Source organism: Homo sapiens, chromosome 8 (genome assembly GCF_000001405.40).
Source record: "Homo sapiens chromosome 8, GRCh38.p14 Primary Assembly".
In the NCBI taxonomy this organism is placed as follows: domain Eukaryota; kingdom Metazoa; phylum Chordata; class Mammalia; order Primates; family Hominidae; genus Homo; species Homo sapiens.
The window spans coordinates 90,945,290-90,955,486 of NC_000008.11; the positions used below are offsets into that span (position 1 = coordinate 90,945,290).

General features: G+C 36.4%; 1 protein-coding gene and 1 long non-coding RNA gene across 6 annotated transcripts in view; one reads left to right on the forward strand and one right to left on the reverse strand.

Annotated features, from left to right (window-relative positions):
• The window catches only part of LOC105375634 (uncharacterized), a 109,088-nt gene extending 100,391 nt beyond the window's left edge, over positions 1–8,697 (reverse strand). For 3 of the 4 annotated variants that reach the window (XR_928396.3, XR_928399.3, XR_928390.3), the window contains exon 1: positions 1,078–5,828. This is a non-coding gene — a long non-coding RNA (uncharacterized LOC105375634). Of the gene's footprint in view, positions 1–1,077; positions 5,829–8,654 lie in introns of those variants that run through there. The other variant, XR_928395.3, reaches the window with a different exon arrangement.
• The window catches only part of NECAB1 (N-terminal EF-hand calcium binding protein 1), a 167,619-nt gene that overhangs the window by 153,515 nt on the left and 3,907 nt on the right, over positions 1–10,197 (forward strand). Inside the window, exons 11-12 of one of the 2 annotated variants that reach the window (NM_022351.5) lie at positions 4,518–4,595; positions 5,824–5,915. In NM_022351.5, the coding sequence (NP_071746.1) occupies positions 4,518–4,595; positions 5,824–5,915 (170 nt within the window). The remainder of the gene's footprint in view (positions 1–4,517; positions 4,596–5,823; positions 5,916–10,197) is intronic. The other variant, XM_011517213.3, reaches the window with a different exon arrangement.

Genomic DNA, 10,197 nt, shown 5'->3' on the forward strand with positions numbered 1-10,197 from the left:
ACCTCCGACTTCGTGATCCGCCCGCCTCAGTCTCCCAAAGTGCTGGAATTACAGGCATGAGCTACCGTGCCGGGCCATTTTTGTATTGCTTATAGAGACAGGGTTTCATCATGTTGCCCTGGATGGTCTTGAACTCCTGGACTCAAGTGATCCGCCCACCTCGGCCTCCCAAAGTATTGGGATAACAGGAGTGAGCCACCGTGCCCAGCCTCATTAATCAGTAATTATATAGACGAAATAAATTAGTGACCCACAGCTTGGTATGGAGAAATGTGAGGACTGGCCCTCTTGCCATGTCTTTTCTTCACTGGTTAGGCCTTGCTTGTGATTTAAGGTAGGACATGCACATGGGGAAGGAAGAAGCCAAGAGGGAAAGTCCCGTCCATTATGGGCAGTTTCCTCATTTAAAATCTTTAATCCCACCTGTTCCTGAGCCACATCCATTTCCCCCAGAAGCCATTTCACTGACACATTTTCCAGCATCCAGGAATATTCAAGGTCTCCCAAAGCTCGAGGTTGAAGCTTTTGGGGCCTGCATCCAAAGACAGCTTAGCCAAAGAACTCTTGCTTTAGCCAATGAGTGTTAAGTGTCACAGGAAGTATGAAGATTTCAAGGAGAAAGACACAGGCTGTTTCGGGTGAGTAGAATCACATAAGAAACAAATCACAGGTGTGTTGTTGTGCAGTTTTACATTTACAAATAATCGAAAGCTAATCATTCAAGCCCTAAGCCTTTAACAACTGCTGACAAATCTTTCTAAAAATTATTTCACAATTGGACTTTTCTTGCTGTCTCAGTGTGATCATTGTGTGTCATTATCTATATGGTATAGTCTCAAATATCAATGTCCTTAAATGTCATTGCCCCATATTGGTCTTTTTGGCCCTTAACTGAAAGTACCCATTCTGTAAAGCAATTCTGGTTAGCACTTTCACCCATGTGCCTTTGAGACAGAATCTGCACTTTCATCACTGCATCTGCTTCTTGTCAGTCACCTTTATTAGGTTTCCTAACTCTTTGTCAGAGTGCAGCTTTTGGAGGCAAAGATGCCTAAGTTCAAAGTCTGGTTTACTCACTAGCAGCTGTGATGACCATGGACAAGACATTTCGTCTCTCCATTCCTCAGTTTCCTTATCTGTAAACAATGGAGAAATAAATACACAAAGATGACAACAGCACCTTCCGGTATCAAATAGGAATGCTTGCAACTGCAATCTAGAGTAAGCACAGTAACAGTCATTTATATTATAAGTACATTTATTATTCTCAAAAAGAAGTCAGAGGCAACAATCTCAAGGTTCTTCTACAGCTTAATGCTGTCATCAAAGATCCCAGGTCTGTCTTTCAGATGTGCCTTCTGGCTCTTCACCAGATGGCCCACAGTCAGGAAGAAAAAGGGAGAACCAACAAGCTCTCCTCTCATGTCTGATCCTGAAGATGCAAATGTTTTCCCAGAGTCCCTGCTTCCCAGCATACTTCCCCTTGCATCTCACTGGCCAGAATTCAAGTCACATGGTCATTGCTGGCCACTGGGAAGGCTAGGAAACAAGTGTCCAGCAGAGAGGAGTAAGGTTATCAGGGTATTCTCAGTCCAACACTGAGTGGTACATTGGGTGTATTGCAAACTGAACAGTGGCAGAGTCATGTTAGTAAGAGGAGAGTACTATTTGGGGAGGCAATGGACAGTGTAGCCACATGACCCCCAAAGTACCTGTGAAGGTAAAATGGCTTATCTATGGAAAATGCTTAAATTAGACCCTGGAACAGAGCAATACATGTAGAAATCATCACCACCACCACCATTAATACTTATATTATTAGCTTGCTGCTTCTCATTGCTTTAATAGATATGTGCATTTTCCCTCCATTTCTTTTCTGGTTTTCCTCCCACCCCATTCCTTTTGTTTCTGTTAGCTTTGCTTCTTAGCTTAGACACCATTAAGGCTTAGCTTTCATAGCTACTCGCCCAATAAAAGTGATACTTTCCTTTTAGCTATTGGGCTAACAACACATACACACACACACACACACACACACACACACACACACACACACACACACAATAAGCCAAGTACTGAGTTAAGAATTCTACATGTAACTTCTTTTTTTTTTTTTCTTTTTTTTTTTTCAGAAAGAATCTCGCTCTGTTGCCCAGGCTGGAGTGCAGTGGCTTGATCTTGGCTCACTGCAACCTTCACCTCCTGGGTTCAAGCGATTCTCCTGCCTCAGCCTCCTGAGTAGCTGAGATTACAGGCACATGCCACTGTGCCCAGCTAATTTTTGTATTTTTAGTAGAGACAGGGTTTCACCATGTTGGCCAGGCTGGCCTTGAACTCCTGACCTCAAGTGATCCGCCCACCTTGGCCTCCCAAAGTGCTGGGATTACAGGTGTGAGTCACTGTGCCCGGCCTTACATGTAACACTTTAATTCTCAAAGTATTGTTATCATTATTGGACAGATAAGGAAACCGAGGTTGAGTATTGGAATCAAGGTGGCACAGCTAATAAATGGTGGATGGTGGAAGGTCTGCTGGGCTATACTTTAAATCACTGCCATTTCATACTGTGTTGTCCTCCTTTTTACTCCTTCAAAAGCTTTAGCATTATGCTAAAATTTTATGAATTTCTTATCTTATGGTCTTATGGCTAGCCTGGAAAATGAAAGGTTCAAATAGCAGGATAAGTAGGATTTTAATGTAATAAGTAAACAAATGAATTAGTTTTCAGGAAGCAGTTGATGAAGAGCTTGAAATACAAGGCTGAGTATTTTAAACTTTATCCTTAAGAAAATTGATATGGATTGTAATTTGTCCAGTATACTGTTGAAGGTTATGTTTGGGGATTACATCCCTTTGAAACTATGATGAAAGCTATAGATTCTCTTCCTAGGAAAACATATATATGCACATTCATTTGCAGATCATTTCTGGGAATTTAGTGAACCCCCAAAGAGCACATTCATGAACTCCTGGGATTAGAAAATCACAAATTCCACCTTCCATTTAATTCTTATGATTCCATAGTAAACCTTTCTCCAGAAAATCTGAAGTTGAGCTAAAAACAATATTTGCTGCATCATACCTTAATGAACCAAACTAGATAAACAACTGAAAAGAACACAAGCAGAACTAAAGAAAAAAAAAATTAAAATCTCTGTGTGTAGTTACTGCCACCTGCTGGTCACACTTAGGTAAATCCTAAATCTACATTAATCAACTATTTTACTGCTAAGTTATGTGTTCTCTTACTGTTAAGTTTACTGGTAAGTTCTTTGTTAACCCAAAAGCCTTATTGTTTTTCTAACCCCTCGTTTTGCTTTCTAATATGAATATATTATGAACCATTAGGCTGAACAATCTGTATTTTTGTAATTCAGTTTTTAAAGGCATCTTTATTTTTGTCTCCCACTCTTAAGTTTATGAATCTGTCTCTATTGTTTCAAAATTAATTTGGGTCTTCATCATTTCTCACCTATGCTATTTCACTATCTTTCCAGCTGTTCTTTCTACTTTATAATACCCTCCATACAAAACCCACTGTGCCATCGGAAGGATCTTTTAAAATATAGCTCTAGCCACGTCACTCTCCCTGCTTTAAATCCTTCAGTGACTTCTCATTGCTATAGGATTAAATTCGCAGTCACCTCAACCTATGTTTTCAGCCAGCCTGCTTTCTTCACTCCTTCAAAACATATTATGTAGACTTTTTCCTCCTTCGGGCTAGTCAAAGGACTGGAAGGAACAAATTTGTCTCACCCAAATTGGAAAAGAAATTTAAAAGTAAAACAAACAAAAAACCCTTGCAATTATGGCCAGAATATGGACTCTCAAACTTCATCCAGAGACAACAGGCACTTTGTGTGTGTGTGTGTGTGTGTGTGTGTGTGTGTGTGTGTGTGTGTGTGTGTCAGAGGGAGAGAGAGTTTGAAAGAGAGGGAGAAAGAGAAAAAAGAGAAAGAGGGAGAGAGCCACTAGGTATTGGCAAACTAGGAGTCAGTTGTATAGCAGTAGTGTGGTCCAAGTGACTCAAATGGCATAGAGCAGGACCCACACAAAATCTGTCAATACAGGAATGTTGTATGGCTAAGAATTTGGCAGAGGTATGGTGGTTGATAGGGCCAATCCTAACAGCTACATTTGAGGGCAAAGGCAGGTAGCATGCACTCACATTTTTCTGGTCCTAGCACAACAGATGCTCAATAAACCTTTTTGAATGAATGAACACAATTTTGCAAAAGTTACATTTGTGATGTCTGCAATATACTGAGACTGTTTTCATGATGCAAAACCAGAAAACTAAAAAAACAAACAAATAAACAAACAAAAACACTTATGCCTAACAGACATATTTAGAATAAATAAATTCTTGACAAATCTGTTTGATTTTCATGCAGGCACCTTAGATTGTTTCCTCTATTAATGGATAAGATTGTTTCATACTACATATGGATATTAGAAAAGTTAGCTTGCATCTTTAATTTCCAGTAGCTAATTATGCCTTTTATTTTCCATTTCAGTATTTCTATACAGAAGCTTTCAAATGAATCTCGCTACATGATCTATGAGTTCTGGGAGAATAGTAGTGTATGGAATAGGTAAGTTGTGAGCAAGCCTGATTTTATGTGAAGCCAGGAAGGTGGCAATATGCATGATGTAATTTTAGGATTTGTAGGAAAGTTCCATTCTCTTTTACCTTACCTTAAAACCTGTCCCATTTGCCCATTACCATGAATTCTACACACTTTAAAAAATGTATTTAATAGCTTAGAAACCACTTCTCTCTTGAAGTACAAATACTTTTGGTAATGATCCCACTTTGAGTCTTACCATTTTACTGATGTTTTCAGATAAGAAGATATAGATAGGGGGTATGAGTGTCTAAAGCTGGTGAGGGTAGTGGTGGGGGTGGAGAAAAAGGATGGACAAAAGTGAGGTGGGAAAAAAAGCTTTACCTCCTAATTTTTCATAGGATAGTCTGTGCAGTTATTTTATTTTACAATAAAACTACATATAATTTTTAGAGTCATTGCAGCCCAATACCTTCTAAATGTCTTTAAACACTAAAAATAAAGTGGAAATTCAAGACGTTGTCAAAAATTAAAATAAATCAGCTTCTTTAAAAATTAAAATAATTACTAATAGCAAACAAACATATAATTTTAAAATGGAATGAAAGAAATGTTTGCTCTTCTGAGAGTATATAACAATTCCTGACAGTTTAAAATGGTACAGAGAATACAGCTCTCTAAATAAGTCCATGTTTAGGGTGTTAAATATGGTGATGGAAGTAATAGAATACCTGGAAATTCAGTTGATCCATGTTTCACCTAAAAGTTTTATTTTTGTGGCAATTTTGAAGGCACTTTGTGCTATAAGGAAGGCAAAATGACACCAACAGTATTTCAGCCATAGAAGGAAACGAGGTAACTTATTCGACTCTGCTTCCAGGCCAACACTTTCACATAGCTTTTTAGATTTATTTTTATTATCTAGAAATGTAAAATATACAGTCTGTCTTATTATCTATCTTGTTTTTAAACAAGATATATTTAAATTTGGTGCAATAAAATCTACTTTTTATCCTCTAAAAAAGTAATGTTCTCCTGGTTTAAAACCTTTTTAAAAAAGTTTCTGATGACAATTATTAAATTACTCCTGAGTCATTTTTGAAAGCTGAACAACCATTAAAAGAAGCTTGTATCCAGGAGCTTATTTAATCCAAATCATCCCAAACTTTGCCATCTTGATCAAATTTGATCTCTGCTGTACTTGGGAAGATTGTAAATAAAAATGCACAGCCTTAACCTATAATTATTTATACAGCCACCTTCAGACAAATTATAGCAAGACATTCCAAAGAAGTAATGTGGATTTCTTGGAAACTCCAGAACTCACATCTACAATGCTAGTTCCTGGTAATTATCCTGGGTTTACAATGCTTCTGTGTCCTTTTGTATTTTTGTTTGTTTGTTTCGTAAAAGATAGTATGCTCTTTCCTTCTATATTTTATCAATGGTACTCTCTTATTTATTTCTTTATATATTTTATGATTTGAGATTGGGGGGAAGAAATAAAAGATCTATATATTTGTTCTATTTTGTCCTTAGTTGACCCTATTTGTATTCCCAGCTATACTGAACCATTAGTCATTTGCTAATCATATTAACAAACTTGAAGTACCACCAAATCATATTTCAAAAAATTATTCAAATATTTTATCATATTGTAATTTAGTGTACTGGATACAATTTGTTCATCTACCCATCCAATTACTGATTAAATATATATTTACTGAGTATTAATATGTGCTAGGCATCAGGGTGTTTAGCCTAATTTACTGGTACTGATTGAGCTCCATTTCTGAACAAGCACTGTGTTGGGAGCTACAAAGGGTACAAACTAAAGGCAAAATCCCTACCCATAAAGTGCTTTCTGTCCAGCTTCACAGAAACGTTTGCAAAGACAAATTTTAGCAGAAAAAAAAAACCCAGCTAAGGGAATAAAATAGCTGTCACCATTAGAGATAATATGTGTTTTGTGGACTTGGAGAAGTGATTACTTCTTTAATAGTTTTTAAGAAAATGACTTGAGCTAGTCCTTAAAAGATGAGATGTGGAAAAGTAAAGATGGAGAGGAAGGGTCCTTTGGTAAATTTGGACATGAACAAATGCAAGAAGTGTGAATGTGCTTTATAGGTGCAAAGGTGTCACTAAGGCATAAAACTTACAGTACAAGTGGAGACAGACGAGAGAGTAAGAAGTGAGGTTGAGAATGTCATAATGAGGCTTTTGAACAGCAACCTGGAGTAATTTAAAGTTTTGAAAGGGATGGTGACATGTTCTAATCAGTAATAACTGACAGGAGGGAGAAAGGTGGATGTCATGGAGAGGAGAGAGATTAACCAATTAGGGCAATAATCTAGGCCAGGGAAGAAAAAAAAAAAAACCTGCACCAGGAAATAGCCAGAGTTTGGGACTCCAGTTGCAGATGTAATTTTCAGGAGTTAACCACAGCAAGATGATTGTTGAAGCCTGGGATTGGTAAGAAAGTATGTAGGTAAGAACAAAATATCTAAGAGAAGCTTGGGGAGATGCCTTTCTTTAAGCAGTGGAGTATCAAGGAAACCAAAAGAGTAAAATGCAAAGATACAGTGCTCCTGGGGATGAGTGGGGGATGTATAGTGTTATGATGTTATAAATGGGAGGAAGGCTGGGCGCGGTGGCTCACGCCTGTAATCCCAGCACTTTGGGAGGCTGAGGTGGGCGGATCACAAGGCCAGGAGCTCGAAACCAGCCTGACCAACATGGTGAAACCCCACCTCTACTAAAAATACAAAAAGTAGCTGGGCATGGTGGGGCATGCCTGTAATCCTAGCTGCTCAGGAGGCTGAGGCAGGAGAATTGCTTGAACCCAGGAGGCGGAGGGTTGCAGTGAGCCAAGATCGCACCACTGCACTCCAGACTGGGCGACAGAGCGAGACTCCATGTCAAAAAACAATAATAATAAAATTAAAATAAAATAAAATAAAATAGGGAGAAAAATCTTAGAATACAACTTCTGTAAATATGACTGCTGCAAGCTTTGTACATAGAATGCAGGAAAGTGAGATCCACATTTTATTTATCTTCACATTCCCTACCCTATTACAGTATTACTATAGTACAGTATATGGCAAGAAGAAATTATTTCCTAAATGAAGGAATGAATAGGACTTTGGCATCATCATAAATATATTGGTCTTCGGTCAAAATTTCCACGAAGTCCTGACACTTGTAATTTTTGTGTCTGTCATCACACCCATTTCCATCTCTCCCAAACCAATGTGGAAAGAAAGGAACAAAGCTTGTTCTTATTAGTGTCTTGAGTCTTTCCAGGACAGAAACAACCTGATCAAAAATAGAGTAGGAAAAGAGGATAGAACAGGAGGCTACTGAATTATCAGTGAGGGGGAAAATGCTATAGCAAGAATTGAAAATGTGGACTAATCTGATAGTTTTCTGACCCAACTTTATCATTATCTGGAATTATTTTCTAGACACTACTAGTGTCATTGGCACATATATTACTCTTTCTCTCTCAGAGCATTTCCTAATTTAGAAAGAAAAACTGACTACAGATAAAACTGGATCAATTCTTGTTCTGTGAATCCAGGCTCAATACAATTTAATGTCTTTTAATTGCTGCCCTATTTTGTATTAATTTCATGTTACATTTAATTTCAACAATGATTACTGGAATTTCGTAGAACAAGAGGAAAAGTTAGGCTTGATTTTTGACACAATTTTAAAACCTACAACATTTTGACATTTATTGGGACATCCCACCTTATTTTAAAGTTTTATCACTGTGACAGCAGGCCTATTCCAGTAAGCAGAAGCTAGCATATAAATATTATTTATGGGTTTTAATGGCCATATAACTTCTAACACTATTTTTAAAAACCAGTTTTGTACATTTTGTGTTATAATGGTTATGAAGATTAAAAATAAAAATAATTAGCTGGGCGCTATGGCTCACGCCTGTAATCCCAGCACTTTGGGAGGCGAAGGTGGGCAGATGACCTGAGGACAGGAGATCGAGACCAGTGGCCAATATGGTGAAATCCTCTCTTTACTAAAAAATACAAAAAATTAGCCAGGCATGGTGGTGCATACCTGTAATCCCAGCTACTTGGTAGGCTGATGCAGGAGACTCACTTGAACCTGGGAGGCAGAGGTTGCAGTGAACTGAGTTCGTGCCAGTGCACTCCAGCCTGGGTGACAGAACGAGACTGTCTCAAAATAAATAAATAAATAAATAAATAAATAAATAAATAAATAAATAAATAGCTGCACATATTTATACCTAAAATTAAAATCTGAAAGAAAAAAAGCAGATATTACATTTAAAAATGCAGTATGAATAAGTTTGTATTTCTAATTTTACTCACAAATTATGATTTCTGGTAAGATTGCTTTTTATGGTTAAGACTACTAAGTGGTTTACCTAAGATACATCTAAAGTAATTAAGCAACTAAGCCAGATTGCATCCAGATATGAAAATATACACTATAATATATTCCAATGACCTCTCAAGTATAAAATCATTCAAATGAAGCATACTGGAATATGGCAGCCCAAACCACCCAGACAAAAGGAGTATATAAACTTGGTCTGTGGAGCAGAATGTCCATTGGTAATAACAGAAAAACCTACGGTTATGGGAAAACAGGATACAAAAAAAAAGATCCTATTGCCAGCAAATTACTTGAACAGTTTTGAAAGCAAATTTCAATCCTTTCCATTTATCTGTTTCTTACAGCATTCCACCAATCATACATCTTTGCCATTGGTTTGTTTTCAGGATATCTATATTCACTGGGATAAACATTTATAATTTTAACATACAGATATACTAAAATATTATTTATAACCTACTTGCTTATACCCAATATTTATGAGATCCTATGTGTATAAATATATGGTATTTATAAATATCATATAGGTATAAATATATGTATAATAAATCACACATGTATTTATATGTATATTATATATTATACATAAGCTGCATATATTTATAAATATATGTATACATATGCATATATGTATATTATGTGTATGCATATGCATATATGTATGTGTATACAAATGCATATGTATTATATGTATACATACATGTATACATATTATATGTATATATTATGTGTGTACATATATGTATGTATATGTACACATATGCATATATGTATATACATATATAAATGCAGGTGCATGTATGTACATATGTATAAATATATGGTATTTCTACATATAGGATTTCATAAATATTGGGTATATAAATTATATATATATATATATATATATATATATATATATATGGCCTAACTACTGCCAGTGTTGGGTAGATTCTAATAAGAACAATAGCATGATTCTGTCTTCAGTGCATTTATAAACTTGTTGCCAAAACAAGTTCTATTCACATAGAACAGAAAATTTTAGACTGCAACAAAGTGCCAAAAGGTATGGTACAAATAACAAGTGCATAGGAAGAGTTCAATCTTGCCTCAAATAGTCAGGAAATGGTGACTAGAAAGATAAGTTATTATGCAGACTAAAGGTAAGGGGAATGGTCTCTTTAGAAATAATTTGCACCTTGAATGTTCTTTGCCCTATAAGTTATTTTCATTATTTTAGAAAACATTTTTCTCTTTTCAG